A 24,756-nucleotide genomic window follows, 5' to 3' on the forward strand; every position below is an offset into this window, starting at 1 on the left:
TCTCAAAATGAAAGAGCTTTTTCTCTGATTAAATTATCCAGTATGACTTGATCATTTATTTCAATTTATTGTTTGTATAAATGTTTGGGAGCTGCCTGATGGCAGAGACCAAAATGAGTTTAACTTTGTCCATCACATTGCAAGAGACCTCTACTAAGAAGAGAGGGAGTTAACCACTTAGATGCTTTCATTGGTTCCCTGGCGATCGTTAGTCAAGGAGAATGGGGACAGGGTTATCAGTATGTTTTTTCCAGCAAACTTACAGAGAAAATGTTAAATAAATTAACTGGAATTCTCTAGCTGTAGCAAACATCTTCTAAATATTTTATGCCACTCTCAAACATTAAACCATTTTCTACTTTTTTCAAATTAACTTGAATTTCACAGTTGTTCTGGGAGTTGTTTCCGTTGTCTCAGGATTTACTTTCATGACAAAAGAGTGAAGAAAACAAAGGCTTTATTTTATTTAATATTCTAAAAGATTACAAATACAAAAGTGTGAGTGACTTTTAACAAAACAGCAGATAAGCATTTAATATCTTAATGTCTCTTGTTGGAACAGGGAAAAGCAGAAAGAAGGAGAAATGCCAGGATTCTGACCTTTACCCTCTAGTGGAGACAGAACTATGTCCTTGTGATGAATTTATATCCCAACCTTATGGAAACTGGTCAGATTGCATTCTTCCAGAAGGCAGAAGGGAGCCTCACCGAGGACTGCGGGTACAAGCAGACAGCAAAGAATGTGGAGAAGGCCTGCGCTTTCGAGCAGTAGCCTGTTCTGATAAAAATGGAAGACCTGTTGACCCCTCCTTCTGCAGCAGCTCTGGTAAGGAGATGGATGGAGAGTAACAGATGAGAACACTCACACACAGCTCGGGAGGTTTGTCTCAGGTCTAGAATTAATAGCTCTGCTCTATAATAATTGTTTTAATTTTCCTTTGTCAATAACACATTGTCTCTCATAAAATATGGACAGATGAAATGCATACATCTGTATCTCAATGATTATCTGGAATGTGATGGTGCTGGATCCCTGACTCACTTCATTCTCTAATTCACCTTTGTTTATTAGCCGCCTGTTTACTGGTGGTCAGCACTGCTGCTCCACTTCACTGAGAAAGCCAAAGCCAAATACAAACAAATATGTTCCATGCTGTTTTTTCATGCTCTGACCATATACATAGAAGGCATCAGAACTTGAGTGTCTTCTAATGTAGTTGAGAAAAAAAAAAATCAATGAAAAAGTTGATTTTAAAAGTTTTACCGTATAAAGGCCAGGCGCGGTGGCTCACGCCTGTAATCCCAGCACTTTGAGAGGCCGAGGCAGGCGGATCACCTGAGGTCAGGAGTTTAAGACCAGCCTGACCAACATGGAGAAACCCTGTCTCTACTGAAAATACAAAATTAGCCGGGCGTGGTGGCGCATGCCTGTAATCCCAGCTACTCGGGAGGCTGCGGCAGAATTGCTTGAACCCGGGGGGCAGAGGTTGCAGTGAGCCCAGACTGTGCCATTACACTCTTTCCTGGGCAACGAGAGCAAAACTCTGTCTCAAAAAAAAAAAAACAAAAAAAAACAAAAAACAGTTTTACTATATAAAGTATAAGTATACCCAAGTTAATAGAATAAAACTATAGGAAAAAAACAAGAGACAATCTCAGAGAGTTTTGTCAGATGTTAATCTGGGAAAATACTGTTTTTGAACCTTAATTGGGAGAATTTGAAAGATCTGGGTGTATGGAAAAAGAAATGGAGGTTAAATACAGCTGGGGTGAAAATTGGTGAAACAGGCTGAAACCAATCATTACAATGGAGCCTCTGAATTTCCTGCTCTGTTTTTCTTTCTTTCTTTTTTTTTTTTTACTAGTTTTTTAAAAAGAATAAACAAGTCTAGAAACAAATGGGTAGATTTTGGTCTTAGTCATCAAGGTTTTGTGTACTAATAAACGTTCTCAGTAATACCAGAAAATCAAATTCAATTATAATGTACAAGCTAAGTAAATGATAGTTCTTCTTTATTGCCAGTGTACTAGCTATCTTTATTTAAGATATACCCATATCATTATACAATGAGATTTAATGACTTTTAAATTAATACTCTCATTGCTTTATATAGGCTTCCTAGATTAGTCTACATTAATTTTTTAAGTGATTTGACTTTCAGAAACATTAAATACATCACAAGAAAGTAATGGACCCATTTTAAGGTGATGCTAATCTTTGTTTTTTAGCTTGTATGTGCGCATTGGTTTATTCATTCATTTGAACAAAACGTTTTTATTGACCATCTGCTATGTACCTGGACATCTATGACTTGAGTGTACAGTTAAGGAGAAGTCAGAAACTTGTGGAGTTTACTGTCCAGAGGGGGATAGAAATAGAACAAATACATAAAAAGAATTTCAAGTTTTGATTAGCTCTGAGGATGCTGAATAGAAAATTTTTCGATAGACTTTAGGGAAGCCTTCACTGAAGTGACATAAATCTAAGATGTGAAAGGTAAGAAGGAGGCAGATGTACAAAGCACATAACAAGGTTGTTTTAGTTAGTGGGGTGTCCAGAAGATAAAAGCTAGGAAAGGTGTTTTGGATAAAACGAAAACCCTGTGGTTTGAGTGTAGAGAGTGAGGAGAGAGCTGTGTGAAGTGAAGTTGAAGAAGTATGTGGAATCTTGTGAGACAAGCCAAGGAATATGAATATAATTTAACGGCAGTCATCAGCTTGGAAGTGGGGTAAGTAATGTTATCCAATTTAGAGATTTTAAAGATCACTTTTGACTACTGTCTACAGACTGACTTAAAAGGGGGAAGGAAGCTGCTGGGAAACTCATGTAGTTAATCAAGGAAAGACATGATGGTAGGTTAGACTAGGGTGGTGGCAATAAAGAAATACAGAAGTAATTTTAAGATGTAATTTAGAGATAGAATTGACAAGATTATTCCAAATGCAAGTCGTCTTTTCTATATGTTATCTGTCATTCATCCGTAATTTTGCATGAATTTGTGGAGGGTTTTTTAATTTAGAAAATAATCATTTCAGGTTAGAAATGAAAACATCTTGAAACAAGAGGAGACATTTGTAATTCAACCAATTTGCAATGCCATAGCAAAAGCTATTAGGGAATCTAAGAGACTTTCACCAGATGAAAATCATGCTTTAATCAAAATTTACTGTAGCCTCATAACTTTTATGGTACTTGTATTAAGCTACTTTCACAGTATGTATTTTCAAAAAAAGGTTTTTTAAAAAAAATAGCGAGTGAAAATACCTTATTGTGTCACTTCTAGGGATATGACATATACTTGTCTATCAAAGAAAAAAAAATCTTTTAATGGTTACTAATAAAGACTTAGTGTGTGTGTGTGTATATATATATATCCATCCATGAATTGGGGTATGGCACTGTGGCTCATGCCTGTAATCCCAGCACTTTGGGAGGCATAGGTGGGAGGATCGCTTGAGCCCAAGAGTTTGAGACAAGCCTGGTCAACATAGGGAGGACTTGCCTCTAGAAAAAATAAAAAATTAGCCAGGCATGGTAGCATGCATCTGTGGTCCCAACTATTTGGGAGACTGAGGTGGCAGGATCACTTGAGTTTGTGGGAGGTCAAGGCTTCAGTGAGCCATGATTGTGTCACTGCACTCCAGCCTGTGTGAAAGAATGAGACCCTGCCTCTAAGTATATGTATATATGTATATGAATTAGCTCACTATTAAGAATTATATTATAGGTTAGGTGCAGTGGCTCATGCCTGTAATCCTAGCACTTTGGGAGGCCAAGGCAGGTGGATCACTTGAGGCCATGACTTCAAGACCAGCCTGGCCAACATGGCAAAACCCCATCTCTACTAAAAATACAAAAATTAGCCAGGTGTGGTGGCAGGTGCCTGTAATCCCAGCTACTTGGGAGGCTGAGGTGGGAGAATCACTTGAACTTCGTAGGCGGAAATTGCAGTGAGCCAACATCGTGCCACTGCACTCTAGCCTAGGTGACAGAGCAAGACCCTGTCTCAAAAAAAAAAAAAAAATTATTATCATGGGCAAACTGAGACACAGGATAATGACCTAAATCTGGATCTCCCAATAAGAATGGTAAGTGCTTCCCCCTTTTAAATCTTTACTTGGACTTTGTCTCCCATTTGCATTTTAGACATGAGCAGGATTCCCTACAATGACATCAGGGAGACTTCTTCATGAGGATAATTATTCCTCATCAAGCATAATGTGTTCTATATGGCCCCTATTGGATACACATAACTGTGGGAACACAACTCCATAAATTCTGAGTTATCCATACTAATGGATTCCATGGATAACTCAAACCATTGATAATCACAGCCCAGTCTGCTTGGCTTTCGGAGTATCACAATGAGGAGAAATATTAAAATCACAATTTATTTTTTAAAAAACTTTAAAATGGAGTTTGTCTCTAAGTTCTGTCAGCCCCTATTGGCTCTTAATGAGTTCCATCACTGCCTGATGCAAAAGTGCATGGTGTCGTCTCCATCTGTGTGACAACAGGTCCAATGAAGGGACTACCTAAATTGGGCAACAAAATATCCCGTGACAAAATTCAGATTCTTGAGGTGAGCCACTTCCAACCATGTTTCTTATATCAGTGTTTTTTTTTTTTTTTTTTTTTTTTTCAAAGAACAGGACAAAAAAGTACTCTAGCATGCCAATACACTGAGCTTTATCTCTCCCTGGCCCTGCCTTCATCTCTCCTTTCATTCAGGTCTCTGCTGAATATCCCCTCATATCAAGTCTTTCTGATTCCTCTAATAATTGATCCACCTCATCACTTCCTATTTCCCTTGCCAGTCTTTATGTTTTTTCATAGCACTTAATCACCAACTGACACATTATATATTTACTTTTTAGAAATGAGTGCTTATTGTCTCTCCCTGCAGTCGATTATAAAGTTCCAGGAGAGTGGAAACTTATTAAAAATGTCTTTTATTTATTTTCAACTGCTGTATCCACAACACCTACAGTGTCAGAAATTTCATAGACATTCAAAACATGTTTTTGAAAACATGACTGAATCATCGGGTTGTGGTAATTTTGTCTCCAAAGTATGTCTTGTCTTTTCCTTTCCTTTTTCTATCTTCTGCACATGCTGATGTTATGCTGTTCTGTCTTGACTTATCCACCTGATATCTGTCATGCCAGGAGCCATCAGCCATCATACTGACACGAAAATGTGTCCAAGCCATGGGCCTGCTTGCAGTCTTTCCTGGTCTCTTTATGTAGCAGCTCCTCAGCTGGACCCTCGAGGACTTCCATGAGGATGTACTTCACCTGGCATGCCCTTTTTCCTCCTGTCATGGGACTCTTCATCCTCTGGGTTAAGATCAGGTGCTACCCATTGCAGGAAGTATTTTCCTTTCTTCCGCTCTTGTGTTTTTTTGTAACACTACATTTAACTTTATTTAAAACATCCATGTAGATCTCTATTTCTCTTACTAAATTGAGAGTTCATTGAAATTCATGATTGTATCATGTTTATTTCTCCATCCCCAATACCTATCACAGGCTCTGGCCCCACACAGGCTCTCAGTATCTGTTGGCTGAATGAATGGAAAGGATAGTTTAGATAAGAGTCAACACACATATGCCCATATACAGGTTCTGAAGTGTGCGTGCAGTGTATGCACATGTTTTAACAGCCCCTTGGGTAGAACAGCTGTGTATAACAAAAGCAGATCCATAGAGAAGCCACCTGTGTAACACAAAGAGCACAGAAAACCTTGTTCTATTTTGCCCTCGATGTATAGTTTGGGAATAGAGGAAATGAAATTACATTGCTGCTAGTGGATAAGCAATGTTTTTGAAACAATGGAAGAATGCAGAAGGAATGATTTTTTCAAGTGATCCAGTGACAAAAATGTGAATAAGCTTTCATTCATCAAATTATGAAATGAAAATATAATGTTTTCTATCTGATTCCAGATAAATCATAATTGATTTGTAGGCAATGAATTATTTTCATTAGTATATCATCCACATGTAATTTAGCATTTGCAATTTAACACTTATAATTTCATTAATTTACTGTAATATATAAGTAGGTATAGATAGAACACAAAGCAAAATAATCATCATAATCTAAAGAATCTCTTTTTGGATTTAAGAAATAAATATTTACATGTTTGCAATCACTGGAAAAGTGAATTTAATATTAATGTATTTAGAAAGTTTAGATTTGCTGTGTATGTATTGAATTTTAAATAATTGAAATATTTCTCTTACAACTCTATATGAACAAGTTTATTTTGGTTGAGCTGGGAGAACATGCTTGGGACTGAAAATTACATCTTTATTAATCAAGGTGATTAAAAGAGCTTTTTTTTTCTAATTCCAGGTCTAGGTTCAAAATTAACCATTTTATTTTATTTTATTTTACTTTATTTTTGAGACAAAGTTTCCTCTGTAGCCTAGGCTAGATTACAGTAGCATGATTATAGCTCACTGCAACTTCAGAGTCCTGGGCTCAAGTGATCCTCCCGCCTCAGCCTCCTGAGTATCTAGGACTACTGGCTAATTTTTTATTTTTATTTTTTATTTTTTGTAGAGTTGAGGTCTCCCTATGTTGCTCACGCTGGTCTCAAACTCTTGGGCTCAAGCGATCCTCCCACCAAGGCCTCTCAAACTGCTGGAATTACAGGCATGAGCCACTGCAACTGACCTAAGACAGCATTTTATATATACAGTGTCCTGGCAAAGATTTGTGGATATCAAAGACAGGACACATGTATTAACCTATTGTGAACAGTCTTCATAAGTCCAGTTCATGGAAGGGACTGAATAATTATATTATATCCTCTCTCCCAGAAAGAAATAGAAACTTTTTAGTTATATGAAATTCTTGCCAAATGACTCATTGCCTAAATCCTTTACACCTTTATGTTTATTTACCAAGACATTGAAAGGCTCTTCAATTCACCACTTGGGGAAGAATAATAGTGTCTGGGCTAAGGAGATTTGCATTGACAAGATAAAGAATATGTTTCTATGTTTTCGTGTTGTGATTTTGCCTCTTTTGCTACTTTTGTTTGTTTTAACATGACCATAGATATAAACTTCATATAATATTGCTGTGTTAGAGCTGTTTCTCTCTTCTATCCACTTTTCTCCAGCCCTGTTGCTCTGCCTTAGTTCAGGCTACTTTATGTTTATTGTAGATTCACTGCAGTGGTGGCCCATCCACTGTCCTCACTCAGTCCTTCTTCTGGCCAGCCTCTCTCCCATTTCAAGGACAGGAATCTTTCCAAAAGGCAAATCTGATTATCACTCCCGTAGATTTTAAAACCTCAAATGGCAACCCATTGCCCAGACCCCTTAGAATGGGATACAAGCCCTTCATGATTTTACCCTCCTTTTTTTAATCATTATAAAAGATTTACATATTTTCTGCATACAACTGATAATTTGAAACACTCATATAATCATATCAGGTTAAGTAGAACATTCATCACCTTAAATATCTTTTCTTTATGCTGGAAACATTCAAATTACTCTTCTAGATATTTTGAAATGTACAATAGGTTAATGTTAACTAGAGTCACTCTACTGATCTATTGAAAACCAGATTTTATTTTTTCCTAAGTATATATTTGTACCCGTTAATCAACCTCTCTTCATCCCTCCTATTTTTTCTAGGCTCTGGTAATCACCAATCTACTCTCTATTTTTATGACATCTCCTTTTATAGCTCCCACATATAAGTGAGGACATGTGATATTTGTCCTTCTATGCTTGGCTAATTTCACTCAACATAATGACCTCCAGTTCAATCAATGTTGCTGCAAATGACAGGAGTTCATTCTGTATAGTGGCTGAATAATATTCCATTGTGTATATGTCTCACTTTTTTTTTTTTAAGATGGAGTCTAGCTCTGTCACCCAGGCTGGAGTGCAGGGGTGCAATCTGGGCTCACTGCAACCACTGTCTCCTGGGTTCAAGTGATTATCATGCCTCAGCCTTCCAAGTAGCTGGGATTAGAAGCACCTGCCACCACACCTAGCTAATTTTTATATTTTTACTGGAGATGGGTTTTCACCATGTTGCCCTGGCTGGTCTTGAACTCCTGACCTCAGGTGATTCACCCCTGTTGGCTTCCCAAAGTGCTGGGTTTATAGGCATGAACCACCATGCCCAGCTATACCACATTTTTGATGCAGGATTTTTCTTGGCCCCTTTGCCAGCTTTGCTGCAGGAGATACCCCATCTACTCAGTCTGCCAGGCTGTGCCTGGCTTGTACTCTGGTGCTTATCCTGTAGCCACTGCAATTGAGCTCTCAGCCCCCACTTTTGGTGGGTCCTGAGTTCTTGTCCCACATCAAAGAAGAATGAGGATACACTGATAATCGAAGAGTGAAAAGGACAGAGAATAATGTTACTGAGTGATGAAATAGCTCTCTGCAGAGATGGGATGCCAAGGTGCCCCCCACCTGAAGTCAGGTCATCTCTCCCTCAGTGTGGCTGGGTCCAGGGCTTTTATGTGTTCAGAATGGGGCGTGTGTACTGATTGGTTTGAGTATGCAAAAAGAGGCTAAAACAAAGGCACCACTCAAAGGTGGGCACAACAGTGTAGAAAACCAATTAGGAAAGGGTAGGTATATGTAAAATAGGTGAAGGGTGGGGATCGATCGGTGGAAAGCACAGCACACAGTCAGAGAGGTTCTCAATCTGGTCCGAGAATTTACCCAGGACTGTCTTCAGCTTGAAGGTCAGATTTCACTGGGGACCTGTCCCTGTCTGCCTAGGATTTGTCTGCCTCCTGTCATTATCATTTGCTTTATACATTCATCCACTGATGAACACTTAGACTGATTCCATATTTTGGCTATTGAAAATAGTGGGAGTATAGATACCCCTTTGCTATATTGACTTTATGTCTCTTGAATATATACTCAGTACTGGAATTGCTGGATAATATGGTAGTTCTATTTTTAGTTTTTTAAGGAAACTCCATACTGTTATTCATAATGATTATACTAATTTACATTCCCACTAACAGTGTACGAGGGTTCCCCTTTCTCCATATCCTCAGCAGCATCTGTTATTCCCTGTCTTTTAGATAAAAGCCATTTTTACTGGAGTGAGATGATATCTACCGTGGTTTTGATTTTAACCTTGTTTAATGCCTGAAGCCTCATATTTCATCCACCCCACTCTGAACTCCAGCAGTCCTGGGTTCTAGAATATCTCAATATATACCATTTGCTGGCAGGGGTCTTTTGCCTTCTGTACCTATCTACTTTCCTCCTGCTGTGACTTTAATTTAATTTAATTTGCAACTTAATTCTCTAGTTGATTCCTAATAACCTTTCTGAACTTGTATTAGAAATGTCACCCTTTTTGAAAAACCACAGACAGTCTTGCCCGGCAGCCCTTTCCTGACTCCCCAACCCCTAGAACCCACTAGGAGAGGAGCTTGCCGCTTAATGTTTGTTAGCAAGATATACATTCTCGGTCCTATACTTCTCCTATTTTACCTATCTTATTGCTAATCCATGCTGCCACAGAGGGCTGTGTGCCCCCTGAGAGATGGACCATGAACACTTCATCACTCTATCATCACAAACAGCTGGCAGAGTGTCAGCAAATCACACATACTCAATAATGGCTCACAAAACACAGATTGTAAATTATGCTTATGAATAACTAATTTTAATTCACATATGTGAATTCATTCCCTATGACTACTTTATCAAAACTACAAACTTGGTGGCATAAAACAATGCAGTTATTCTCTCACAGTTCTGAAGGTAAGTAAGAAGTTCAAAATCTGTTTCACTAGGTCAAAGTCAAGGTGTAGTCAGGGCCATGCTCACTCCAAAGGCTTTGGAAGAAAGCTTTTCCTGGCCTTTTCCCCTTTCTAGAGTTGCATTCCTTGCATTCCTTGGCTCATGGCCTCTTCCTGTGTCTTTAAATCCGGTGGCATAGCATCTGGCTTCAGTATCACATTGGATTCTTCTTCTGCAGCAAACCTTTTGACTCCTTATAAAAACACTTACGACTACCTGACCTGTGTGGACAATTTAGGATAACCTTTCTGTGCAGGGAAAAACACGCTGACTGTGTTTTTCCTCTGCCCACACACCAACACAACACCAATCATCAACACAGAAAAATACTTCTGTGACCAAATGTATGGGAGTTTTTCCCCCACACACCCAGCAGCAGATACCAGTTGGTTGTCCTCCAATTCAATTCTAATACTGTCTATCTGGAGATAATATCAGATCCCACAGGTTGGCAGCTCAGAACCTAAAACTGCCTCCCATACCTCCAGGCACCAGTTGCAACTCTGGGCCTCTGAAAATTCTGACCAACTGGCTTCAAGTTGGGGTTCCCACGACTCCCACTTTGGGTTTGATTAATTTGCTGGAGTAGTTCACAGAACTAAGGGAAATAGTTACTTACATTTATTGGCTTATTCTAAAGGATACAGATGAAGAGACAAGAGGGGCATGGGGGTAGGGGGACAGAACTTCCATGCTCTCCCTGGGCACACCACCCTCCCCGAATTTCCATGTGTTCAGCTATCTGGAAGCTCCCTGAACCTGGTCCTCTTGAGTTTTTATGGAAGTTTCATGAAGTCAGCATTCCTTCCACAGGATATAGGGCAGGACCCTCTCTGGGGAGGGTCTTAACACCCACAATCATAAATTTTGGAGAAGATTAGAGTCCTGCCTTGGAGCAGGTGAAAGGAGGGTAGGAGAAGGTTGGAGAGATTCTGTTTCCTGAGGCCTAACACACCCAACATTGTAACAAAAGATTGTATCAAGGACTATGGGAGTTATAAGCCAGGAAACCTGGATGAACACCAATATAAATCGTAACACCACACTTACCATCTCAATATCACATCTGCAAAATCTGTTTTACCTTATTAGGTAGCATTTGCACATTCCAAGGAATAAAACCTGAAAATCTTTGGGCTGTTTTTCACCATACCAGAATATGTTAAGAGGGCAGTCATGTTTTTGAAACTAAACTCCTGAAAGAAGTGCAAGTGAAAAACAATTTGAAACTTTGCTCAACGGTTTGAAGCATTCGCAGAGTGTTATTTTCTTATTTTCCTTGTGTGTAATATCTACACAGGGGACTTTATGTGAATTATATTGAATTGAATTATCTGGAAAACTATTGGGCAAAATATTGTCAGCAAAAATGTTACAATGAAGAAAGCAAATATGGGATTTGAGTATTTCCTTGAACAACATTATATAAAATTAGTATTTCCTTTTACTTTTGTTTTGTTTGTTTTTGCAGGGTATTGGGCATCCCCTTGTCTCCAGGTCACATATTTGCTATATCTTGTTCATTTAATATGTTGTATTTTCTAATTCCAACCTATTTAGCAGTTGCTGGAGACAAGGGCTTACTGATGAATTCTCATTTGAAGAGAAAATTCAGCTACTGACAATGTTTGAGGAGCTCATGTTGTCCAAGAAGTCATCTGGAAAGATCCATTGGGAATAGCGGTTCATTTGCTTATGGATTCATTTATACTTTTAAAAAAATCAATGGAACATCTAGTTTTCATCAGGCATTTTCCTATATATCAGTTTATAAAGATTAACAAGTCATATGCTCTAAACATATTCATAGTCTAATAAAAGACTGTATTAGGGACTTCTAAATTTAGGAATATCTCCTCTCTCTGAGTCAGACCATACTTTAATTTTTTTTAATTACACTGAAGGAAAAATTTCAGGACCTCAACCAGTCAAATGGTTTAATATACTCTATATTTCTAAATCCAGAATTATGCCCAAATATGGAATCAAGATTTCTTTATTGATGATTGAAAATGGACAATGAGAGAAGACATGTCTAGGGCCTTATAGCCTGGTCTGTATGGATTTGATAGGAAAACCTTTCTAGAGAAGGCATTGTATGTTTTGACCCTTCTCAGAGAATAAATTGTGGACCCATGATGAAATCCACGTACAACTTTCTTCGTACCTATTTGGAATAAAATGGGATATATTTTACCCTAAATAAGAAAGTAAACAGAACTTCTAAACAAATGGTTTTTAATTAATAAATTAATATTTATTACTCATTTTTTCTTCAAAAACAAAAGCAAGTAGGTATCTTATGAAAGGCTACAAAGTAACTTTCTCTACCTTGATTAAAGAAAAAATAGTTCAATCTTCCTGAGATCAGGGAAAAAACAAGAATGTCTATTCTCAAATTCTATTCAGCACCATGCTGGAGGTTTTAGCCATGGCAATTAGGCAATAAAAATAAATAAAAGGTATCTATATTGAAAATCCAGGAGTTAAACTACATCTATTGGCAGATAAAATAAACTTATAAATAGAAAATACTAAGAACCACCCTCAGAAAGAAGCTATTAAAGCTAAAGAATTTAGCAGGTTTGCAGAGTATAAGATCAATGGTCGCAAAGCAGTTGTAGGTCTATACACTAACAATGAACAATCAGAAAATGAAATTAAGAAAATAATTTCATTTATAATAGCATCAAAAAGACTGAAAGACTTAAGAATCTATTTAACGAAAGAAACTTATTATACTCTGAAAACTTTATTTATTATACGCTATAAAACATTGTTGGGGAAGATTAAAGAAGACCTAAATTAATGGAAAGATGTGCTATGTTAATGGATGATAATTCTTAATATTGTTAAGAATTGTTATCTTAAAATACCAGTGGTCCTCAAATTAATCTATTTAGTTCAGATTATATTAAAAGCTTAGCTAGCTTTTTTGAATAAATTGAGAAACTGATCCTGAAATTCATATGGAAATGTGAGAGATCAAGAATAGTCAAACAGTCTTGAAAAGGTGGAACAAAGTTGAAAGAGATACACTCTCTAATTTCAAAACTTACTACAAAGTTACAGTTATCAAGACACTGTGGTACTGGCATAAGGAGAAACATATAGATTAATGAAACAGAATTGGCATTTCATAAATAAACCCTTACATTTATGCTCAATTGATTTTCAACAAGGGTACTATGACTGTTCAATGAAGAAAGAATAATCTCTTTAACAAATGGTGCTGGAACAACTGAATGTCTATATGCCAATGAATGTAGCTTGACTCTTTCCTTATACCATGACAAAAATTAACAAAATGAATCATAGACCTAAATGTAATAGCTAAAATTATAAAAAAATTATAAAAAAACTTAAAAGCATATCTTCTAGACTTGGACTAGGCAGAGACTTCTTAGATACTACACCACCCAAAGCACTAGAAACAAAAGAAAAAATTAATTGTCGTTCATCAAAATTAAAAATGTAAGTGCTGTAAAAAATACCATTAAGAATATATAACTAAAGAGGCTAGCATGATCCTTATACCAAAGCCAGAAAAGGACGAAAAGGACACTATGAGAAAAGAAAATTATAGGCCAATAGCCCTGATAAATGTAGATGCAATAATCCTCAACAAAATTTTAGCAAACCAAATTCAATAGCACATTAAAAGGATCATATACAAAGATTAAGTGAGATTTATTCCTGGGATGCAAAGATGTTTCAAAATACAAAAGTCAACAAATGTAATACATCACATTAACAGAATGAAGGACCCAAATCATATGATCATCTCAATAGATAAAGAAAAAATATTTGATAAAATTCAACATCCTTCATAATAAAAACTCTCAATAAATTGCATAGAGTTGGCTCTCCATATTTAAAGGTTCTGCATTAGTGGACTTAACTCACCACAGATAAAAAATATTTTAAAAAATAGGCCGGGCACAGTGGTTCACGCCTGTAATCCCAGCACTTTGGGAGGCCGAGGGAGGCAGATCACAAAGTCGGCAGATCGAGACCATCCTGGCTAAGACGGTGAAACCTCGTCTCTACTAAAAATACAAAAAAATTAGCTGGGCATGGTGGCAGTCACCTGTAGTCCCAGCTACTTGGGAGGCTGAGGCAGGAGAATGGCGTGAACCCGGGAGGCGGAGCTTACAGTGAGCGGAGATCGCGCCACTGCACTCCAGCCTGGGCGACAGAGCAAGACTCTGTCTCAAAAATAATAATAATAATAATAATAATGATAATAATAATAATACAATAAAAATAGTCAAATAGAAACCATATTCTATAACTGTTTACATAGCATTTACATTATAGTAGGTATTAAGAGTAATCTAGAGATGATTTATTTATTTTTATTTTTTATTTTTTCTTTGAGACGGAGTCTTGCTCTGTTGCTGGGCCTGGAGTGCAGTGGTGCAGTCTCCAATCACTCCAACCTCCACCTCGCAGGTTCAAGTGATTCTCCTGCCTCAGCCTCCTGAGTAGCTGGGATTACAGGCATGCACCACCACGCCCAGCTAATTTTTGTAATTTTAGTAGAGGTGGGGTTTCACCATGTTGGCCAGGCTGGTCTCAAACTCCTGACCTCAGGTGATCCGCCCACCTCAGCCTCCCAAAGTGTTGGGATTACAGGCGTGAGCCCCTGTGCCTGGCCCTAGAGATGATTTAAAATATATGGAAGGATATATGTAGGTTACATGCAAATGCTATTGCATTTATATCAGGTACTTGAGTACCTGCAGGTTTTGGTATACACAAGGATGATGGAACCAATCCCCTGTAGAATACCCTGTGGATTCCGAGGGTTGATTGTATTTAAAAAAGTCAACACAATAAAGGCAATATATCACAAGCCCACAGCTAACATTGTCCTCAATGGTAAAAAGTTGAAAGCTTTTTCTCTGTGATCAACAGCCAGACAAGAATGCTTATTCTTGCCACTTCTACTTAACATAGTACTAGAAATCCTAGCTAGAGCAATGATGCAAGCAAATAAGTTAAAGGCATCAAAAACAGAAAGAAAGAGAAAGACTGACCCTGTTTGCAGATGGCTTGATCTCATAGTATATCCTAAATACTCCACCAAAGAACTGATAGAACTAATAAATGAATTCAGTAAATTTGCAGGAAACAAAATCAACATACAAAAATCAGTGGCGTTTTTATATACTAAAACCAAACTGTCCAATAAAGAGATTAAGAATACAATCCCATTTACAATAGCATTTTAAGAATAAAATACTTAGGAATAAAATTAAGGAAGTGGAAGATCTGTAAGCTGAAAACTATAAAACATCAATGAAACAACTTGAAAATGACATAATAAATGGAAAGATATCCTGTTTGTTCATAGATCAAAGTAATAAATATTGTCAAAATGTTTATACTATTCAAAATCATCTACAGACTCAATGCAACCCTTATCAAAACCTCAATGGCACTTTTCACAAAAATAGAAAAAAAAAATCCTACAATTCATATGGAACCACAAAAGACCTTGAATAGGTAAAGTAATATTGAACAAGAAGAACAAAGCTGGAGGCACCACACTTCCTGAGTTAAAATTATCTTACAAAGCTATAGTCATCATTAGCAGTATGGTACAGGCATAAAAACAGACACATAAATCAATGGAACAGAATATAAAGCTCAGAAATAAATGTTGCGCTAGTAATCTTTGACAAAGTTACCAAGAATACACAATGGGGAAAAGAGAGTCTCTTTGATAAATGGTATTGGATAAACTAGATATCATGAAATTGAATCCTTATCTTACATCATGCACAAACTCAAAATAGTTTAAAGATTTGAATGTAAGACTTGAAGCAATAAAACTACTCAAAGAAGACATAAGGGAAACATTCATGACATTGGTCTTGACAATGATATTTTGGATATGACGCCAAAAATACCAGCAACAAAAACAAAAATAAGTGACCACATAAACTAAAATTTTCTGCACAAGAAATGAAACCATCAATAAAATGAAGAGGCATCCCATGGAATAGGAAAAAATATTTGGATACCATATATTCAATAAGGGGTTAATACCCAAAATATATTTAAAAACTACTACAACTCAATAGTGAAAAACAAATAGCCCAATTTTAAAAGGGGCAAAGGATCTTAGTAGACATTTTTTTCAAGGAAGACATACAAACAGCCAACAAGGATATGAAAAGTTGCTGAACATCACTCGTTATCAGAGAAATGGAAATCTAAACCACAATAAGATATCACCTTAGACAGTCTTTTATTAAATAGTCAAAAAGTAACAAATGTTGGTGAGATGTAAAGAAAAGAGAACCTTTCTTTATACAAGGCTCTTGGGAATGTAAATTGGCTTAGCCATTATGGAAAACAGTATGGAGTTTCCTTAACAAATTAAATACTGAACTAATATATGATTCAGCAGTCCAACTTTGTGGTATAATTCCCCCTTCCAAAAAAATAAAATAAAATCACTATCTCAAAGAGACGTCTGCACTCCCATGTTCATTGTAGTGTGATTCACAACAGCCAAGATATGAAAACAACTTATGTGTCTGTTGACAGATGAATGGATACAATAAATAAATTATGGTGTGTGGGGTATGTGCTTGTGTGTCTGTGTGTGTGCTTGTGTGTGTGTGTAATGAAATATTATTCAGTCTGAAAAAAAAACCTTGCCATTTGTGGCAATATAGATGAACCTTGACGTTAGGCTAAGTGAATTAAGCCAGACACAGAAAGACAAATACTACATGATCTCGCTTATATGTATAATCTAAAAAAGTCAAATTTATAGAAACAGAGAGTAGACTGGTGGTTACCAAGGGTTGGGTATTAGGGGAATGCTGATCAAAGCGTACAAACTTGCAGTAATGAGATGAATAAGTTCTGTAAAACTAATGTACTTGAATGTACGTCATGGCAATCATAGTTAATAATAGTATATACTTGAAATTCTCTGTGAGAGAAAATCTTAAGGATTCTCACCACACACAAAAACAGGGAACTATGTGAAGTGAAGTATATGTTATTTTGCTTGTTGGAAATCATTTTGTAGTATATGTGGATATATCAAAACATAATGTTGTATACTTTAAGCATATACAATTTTTATTTGTCAATTATATCAGAATAAAACTGAAAAAAATAATGTATAAGGACAACATACAGGATGGGAGAATTATTTGCACGTCATATATCTGATAAGAGACTTGTATGCAGAATATATAAATAATTCTTACAAGACAACAAATAAAAGGTATTTGTCCTTTTATTCTTGATGTATGATCCAAGGATTTAAGTAGGCATTTCTTCAAAGACAATACAAAAATGGCCAGCAAACACATGAAAAGATACTCAACATCATGTCATTAAGGAACTACAGACCAAAGCCCAATGAGATACTAATTCATACCCACTAGAATGGCTGTAATCAAAAAGATGAAAACAGGTGTTGGTGAGGATATGAAGAATTTGGAATTCTCATACATTGCTCGTGAGAATACAAAATGATTCAGCTGCTTTGAAAAATCATCAGTTTCTCACAAAGATAAACATAGAATTACCATATGACCCAACAGAGATGAACAATATATCCAAAAGAAATAAACACACATCCACATAAAAATTTGTACACAAATGTTTAGTAGTGTTACTCTTTACAGCTAGAGAGTGAAAACAACCCAATTTTTTTTCTGCTAACACATGGATAAATAAAATGTATACTTTCTCTATAAAGCAATATTATTTGGCAATTAAAAGAATGATGTACTAATACCAGCTACAACATAGATGAATCTTGACCTCACTATACTAGACATAAGAAACCAGTCACAAAAGACCAAGTAGTATGTGGTTCTATTTACATGAAATATCCAGAATAGGCTAATTTACTTCTATGGTCTGAATGTGTATGTCCTCCAAAATTTATATATTGAAACTTAATTCCCAATATAATAGTACATGAGTAGGACTTTTAGGGGTGATTGAGTTATGAGGACTCCACCTTCATGAGGTGAATTACTTCATGGGAGTAATGCCCTCATAAACAGGCTTGAGGGAACCTGCTTGTCACTTTTTTCCCCTTCTGCTGTGTAAGGAGAAAGCTAAAAGTTACTGTATGAAGGAAAGACCATCACCAGACACCAAGTTTGCCAGCACATTGATCTTGGATTTCCCAGTCTCCAGAACTGTTAGAAATAAATTTCTGTTGTTTACAAATTACCCATTTGAAGGTATTTTGTTATAGCAGCAGGAATGGACTAAGACATTTATGGAGACAGAAATTTGGTTAGTGGTTGCTTAGGACTGGAAGAATGGGGAGAAACTGCCAATGGATATAGGGTCTCTTTTGGGGGTGATTAAAGTATTGTCAAATTGTGGTAATAGTTGTACAGCTCTGTGAATATAATGAAAAACATTGTGCTTTACATTTTAAATTCATGAATTATATGTGAATTATATCTCAGTAAAGCTGTGAAAAATTAAGTCAATTTAAGATCTAATTAGCAAAGAATAACAATTCAAAGGAATAGTTGAATGCAAATATATATATGAACATATCTGTGTATGTATATACACGTATTATTTATGTGTGTGTATATGCACACTATACACACATTCACACACATTTATAAAATATTGGCACTATGAATTTTGATTCATTTGAAGGATTTTCTGGAGAATCACTTATGATAGGAATAGACGTGTAAATTAATTAAATGTAAAACATACCAAAAGAGAAATTTGAATAAAGTATTCTGGTTAGACATTGGGAAATTTTGGTGTGGTTTTAGGTTTTATAAACAGCGTCTCAGAATAGAGGAATATTTAATCTGAGTTTTGAAGAATGAGAGTGCATTGTTGTTTGGCAATATTGACTAGTGCTGTGTGATTAGGGTATATGTAGGTGATAGAAGACTAGGTTAGAAATGTGGATTGGAGTTAAGCTGTTTAGGAACTGTTGTGCTAAAGAAGCTTTGTTATTTGAGTTGGTTTTATTTTTTTCTGAATTTGAGTAAAGTTTCACCTTGTTTTTTAAAGAGATTCATGTCTAACAGAACTCCAGTGTTAACAAAATGATTTTTATGATAAAATTACTTAAGTAGGGCCAGGTGCAGTGGCTCACACATGTAATCACAGCACTTTGGGAAACCTAGGTAGGAGGATCTCTTGAGCCCAGGATTTTGAGACCAGCCTGGGCAACATAAGGAGACCCCATCTCCACAAAAATTTTAAAAAGAAGTTAGCTGGGTGTGGTGGTGCATGTCTGTGGTCCCAGCTACTTGGGAAACTGAGGTGGGAGGACTACTTGAGCCCAGGAATTCAAGGCTACAGTGAGCTGTGATCATATCACTACCCTCTAAGCCTGGGTGGCAGAGCAAGACCCTGACTCAAAAAAATTTATTTTAATTTAAAATATTACTTAAGTGAATATCAATATAAACTAAGCATAACCTTATGCTTACAGGATATAAGCTATATGAACTGAAAGAGACACAACATTTCACATGTTAAATTTTGATATGGACTGTCCTCTGAGAAATAGCTTCAGATGTCTGCAAAACTCAGCTTTAGGCCAGTAATTCTTCACTTTTTACTCTGGTGAAGTAAAAATACATTTACCCAACAATGTTTCTCTAGCATACCCATCAGAAGAGGAATTGCCCAAGGGCTGCCCCATGGATAAAATCTCCTGCCTGAGGGTGGAAGAAACTCAGGGACTCTGGCCCTAACTTACCTTTCTCTCTCTCAGTGATTCTTCAAATCCCCAGCTGTCAAGACATTGCCGCTTTAGAAAGTTGGGGCATTAGCCAGGGCTGTGATAGGATTCCATGTTTATTTCAGAAAGGTAATTCTGACTTCAAGGTTGAGGCTGGATTTGAATAAAATCAAAGGTAGAGAAACCAGCCAGGAGAGAGTGACGTTGGTCCTGGAGAGTGTGAGACAAGTCAGCAACCATAGGGATGGGGAGGGAAGACACTGACCAGAGGTGCGGAAACACAGAGGAATCCAGAATAAGGTAGAAAAGTGAGCTAGGGATGGTTGATGACATTAACACGGGTAAATATCCAGCTGGTGAGAGGAAAACAAAGAACTGGGTTCTGGATGGTTGGAGGACTGAGCAGAACAATTATTAGTGTCGACAAAAAGAGTCAAACTCTATAAAATATTTGAAGAGTTTTATTCTGGGCCAAATAAGAGTGAACGTGGCCCATAACACAGCCCTCAGGAGATTCTGAGAACATGTGCCCAAGGTGGTCAGGGAACAGCTTGGTTTTATCCGTTTTAGAGAGGCATGAGACAACAATCAAATACACTTAAGAAATACATTGGTTTGATCTAGAAAGTGAGACAACTCAAAGCAGGGGGAGGGGGTTTCCAGGCTATAGGTAAATTTAAACATTTTATGGTTGACACTTGGTTCAGTTTGTCTAAAGACCTGGAATTGACAGAAAGGGAATGTTCAGGTTAAGATAAAAGATTGTAGAGACCAGGGTTCTTCTGAAATCTTATAGTGGCTGCCCTTAAAGACAATAGATGACAAATGTTTCCTATTCAGATCTTAGTTCATCCCTTTAGGATTGGGAGGGCCTGGAAGAAAAAGATCTAGCTATGTTAATAGAGATTCTTTATAGATGCAAATTTTCTCCACAAAAGATGGCTTTGCAGGGCCATTTCAAGATATGGCAGAGAAACATGTTTTGGAATAAAATATTTTGATTTTCTTCCTTGACTTGTAATGTTATGCCAGAGTAAGATTGGAAAGTAAATCACAATATAAAGGGTTAAATAAAACATATCTGATGAGAATTTATGGTTTGTAGATTATGACACCCCGGACCCCATAGATAGGATTTTGGGCAAGATAAAAAAAAAGTAGAGCTTAGTCCTCATTCGAGTGGTTATGAAGAAAACACAACTAAAATATTTTATTGAAGTCAGGAGAAAGAAATTTCTGTAATTTTAGATTTGGAATAGATAGAGCTTTTGGAATAGCTTATAGGTGATAAGAATGATGTTGACAACGGGAACAGATAACCTCAGAAAAACTCTAAGAAATATTTTTATTTGAGATGGTTATGGAAGAATCTGCTTAAACCTACTTCCTGACTAAGAGCTTGTTACCACTGCAAAATTCAGCTGAACTACTCTCAAATTGGAAAGATCTTTATATTTAAAGTCTAAAGGTAGCTTCTTCCATTCATTGGTTCAAATTAACTTCATTTAATTAAAAAAAAATTAAAAACTTGTCAGCGGCCAGGCGCGGTGGCTCCTGCCTGTAATCCCAGCACTTTGGGAGGCGGAGGTGGGTGGATCACGAGGTCAGGAGATTGAGACCATCCTGGCCAACGTGGTGAAACCCCGTTTCTACTAAAATCCAAAAAATTAGCTGGGCGTGGCAGTGTCTGCCTGTAATCCCAGCTACTCGGGAGGCTGAGGCAGGGGAATCGCTTGAATTTGGGAGTCGGAGGTTGCAGTCAGCCGAGATCGCGCCACTGCGCTCCAGCCTGCCGACAGAGCGGAACTCTGTCTCAAAAATAAAATAAATAAAAATAAAAAATAAAAATTGTCGGCATAAGAGGATTTCACAAATTTGAAAAAATATATAATGCTTCCTCCACTTATAAATGTTTTACTCTTCAGGCTAAATATCCAGGATTTTTGTTTTCTGACTCATATGACTGTTTCTAGCCCCTTTCGTTCCTGTGCTCATGTTTTCCTAGGATGTTTCCATTTGGCCACTAAACACTTAAATGGCAGTAAAGGGAACATTGTGTCCCAATGTCATTTTCAACCACACATTTCATGTACCATGTGGACTTCCTCTCACTGTTCCCCACGTGTCTTCTGTCCTTCCAGGACTCCATTTCTTTGCCTGTGTTCCTTCCTCAATTTGATGTCTTTTTCTTTTTAAGGTGGACTTCTACTCAATTTTAAGCCCTAACTCAAGTCAGTTTCTTCAAGAAGCCTTTTCCTCAACTTCACCAGTCTGTTTCTATACTCTTACAGAAATTTAGACAGACACTAATGAAGAATATTATTTATATTAGACTTTATCTCTTTGCTTGTCTTTCTCCCTTTCTAGATTGTTAGCGTCTAATTCTTGGCTCATTTACTCATTAACATAGGACATATTTATTTAATACCTTCTAGATGCCAAAACCTCTGCTATACCTTGGCTATATAGTATTAAACAAGACAGATGTGATCTCTTTACAGTCTAGTAGTTGAGGAAGATATTAAGAAAGTATATACACAGAATATGTAATTTCAAATAGCCCTAAGTGCAAAAAGGAGCAGGGCGCTGTAAGATAATAACAAGATGGGGGACATTATTTAAGTTGGGGAATCAGGGAAGACCACTCTAGGGAAGAAAATGTGATCTAAAAAGTGAAGGATAAGTAGTTGTGTAATAGGCAAAGAACACTCTTTTGGACACAAAAGATGCTCAAAAATGTCTCTTGAACCAATAGGAATACAATATTTGCAATATTGTATTTTGTTTTCTTTTTTTTTTTGAGATGGAGTCTTGCTCTGTCACCCAGGCTGGAGTGCAGTGGCGTGATCTCTGCTCTCAACAATCTCCACCTCCTGGGTTTAAGTGATTCTCCTGCCTCAGCCTCCCAAGTAGCTGGGATTACAGGCAGGCACCATCCCTGGCTAATTTTTGTATATTTTGTAGAGACAGGGTTTCTTCATGTTGGCCAGGCTGGTCTCGAACTCCTGACCTCAAGTGATCCACTCTCCTTGGCCTGTGAAAGTGCCGGGATTACAGGCATGAGCCTCCGTGCCCCACCTATTTTTCTACTTTCTCTAGGCCATTTCAATACTGCTTTTGTGCATGTTTTATAAATCACTTCAAACACTGCTCAGTAGATGACATTTACATTAAAATAAATAAAATGTATACTTTATATAATACCTATTGATGCATTTTCACTGTGCAGTTTAAAAAAACTCTTGAAGTCTGTTTTTTAAGAACTGCTATAAAGTTTTGTAACCCCCAATCTGAGTATATATGTTCAGCTGCCCTTTGGGTACCATAATGCAGAACTGCACTTTTACCTGTATTCCTTTTTATATTCTTAGTTGCTCATTATTCCAGCTTGTTAAGGGCTCTAAGTCTTGACTCTGACATCTCATATATTAGCTATAACTCTCAGCTTTATATCATCCCAAAATTTGATAAGCATGCCATCTGTGTCTTTATCCAAGTTGTTAATCAAAATGTTGGACAAAATAAGACCAAGCATTCCCACTCAGCATTTGTTGCAGGGAAGACATCTCTCAGGATGGCACTGATACATTAATCAACATTGTTTGGGTAGCTACAAAAATCCCTCTAGCTCTTTACATTTGTTTATGAGGGTATCAGGAGACTTTTTGTCAAATTTCTTTCTGCATATGCCATCTCCTTTCTTCTCTACAAGTCTAGTAAACCCATCACAAAAGAGATTAGATGCCTCTCTCTGAGTGATCTAAAGGAGCCCATTTGGACACCTGATGCCCATTTCTTCTTTCTTGAAATATTCAGAAGCTCTTTAACAGTATGTTCATAAATTTTTGTCAGAATCAGGCACTAACATAGGTTTGTGTTAACCCCGTATGGCACTGTGCCCTCTGGTTAGGCCCAGACCTCCTGGGCAAAGATAATATTTCAATGGTTTGAAACTGATGCCAAGTTATACAACTTCCAAAAAGACTGGGTCTTTCACGAGCTCATGGCTCCTTTCAGGTAGTGATGCTGTTCAGCACTCAGGCATGACAATGTGGGGATGTAACTGCAGAACAGATTTCCCACACTGAGTCTTTGCTTTACTGTGTCTGTTTTCCACATTTTGTGTATTAATTTACAGATACTTCAGGCTACAGTGATAGTTCCTCAATTTCTACGGTTATTTTCTCCTTATGATGATGTACGTCTCCTCTACTCCTGATTCAAGTCTTGTTCTCAGTTTTGTACTTTTACTTGTTCATTTATTCTCCCTCTCCCTCAAGGTTGCCTTAAAGCCTATAATTATGTCAGCTGCAAACATTTTTTTCTTCCATTAAGATGTACTTAATCGTTTGCCAAGAGGCTCATTATAGTTCATTGCCTAAAAAACTTACGGTAGTCTTCAGTACTATTACATTGAAAATACTTTACTTTTTATGTCCATCTTTCTTTTTCTTTTTTAAAGCCTTCTTCTAGGAAAAAAATATATTAATACCACCTGTATTCACTCCAGCCCCTTCCCCTCATATCTAAGACTATCATGTCCCAGCAGCTACATTCTGGATTTCTCATTAGTTATATTCCTTTCCACTAATATCATTCCATTTAAGTTGCAGTTAATTAACTTCATAAGTTTTGGCATACTTTTTTGGTTATTGGAGCCATGCCTGAGGATGGTTTGGGGAAAGATACAAACTTTTTAAGGGTATGCCATGTGTTAGGCACTCTGCCCAGGACTTTGCTTATGTTATTTCATAACGTCTGTTTATCAGAGTAAAACCTCACACAACCCAGTCTTGATAGAGTTTCATATTGGAAGCAATTAAAATATTTTAAATCTTTTCAGATTCTTGATGTAATACCAAATAGTGCAATGATGAATCACTATGCACAGAGATCTTAAAGATACTGTTTTCTCCATTCCAGCCCCACCCAATGTCCACTGCAGGGCTTTGAGCAGGAGAAAATTAACAGTTATCTTGAAGGTCATTATCATAGTTTTTTCTGTCCTTATATTTGTACACCTCAAGTTGAACTGAAGAACATTTTCATGTCCACGGGCAATGATCTCTGTGGAGTGCCTAATCAAACTGATATACTATTAGTCTACTCTTAATTTCAAACAATGAGAAAACACTGAAGTAGTCTCAGGTATTGGGGCCCAGGGATGGATACACAGGGAGCTAAGGAAGCAAAGAGGAACTCCTGTGTCTCAGGAGGAAATGCACAGT

General features: G+C 37.0%; 1 protein-coding gene across 2 annotated transcripts in view; it reads left to right on the forward strand.

Moving 5' to 3' along the window:
* The window catches only part of THSD7B (thrombospondin type 1 domain containing 7B), a 912,174-nt gene that overhangs the window by 645,502 nt on the left and 241,916 nt on the right, over positions 1–24,756 (forward strand). For both annotated transcript variants that reach the window (NM_001316349.2, XM_047445935.1), the window contains exon 14: positions 563–826. In NM_001316349.2, the coding sequence (NP_001303278.1) occupies positions 563–826 (264 nt within the window). The remainder of the gene's footprint in view (positions 1–562; positions 827–24,756) is intronic.

Source organism: Homo sapiens, chromosome 2 (genome assembly GCF_000001405.40).
Source record: "Homo sapiens chromosome 2, GRCh38.p14 Primary Assembly".
Taxonomy (NCBI): Eukaryota; Metazoa; Chordata; class Mammalia; order Primates; family Hominidae; genus Homo; species Homo sapiens.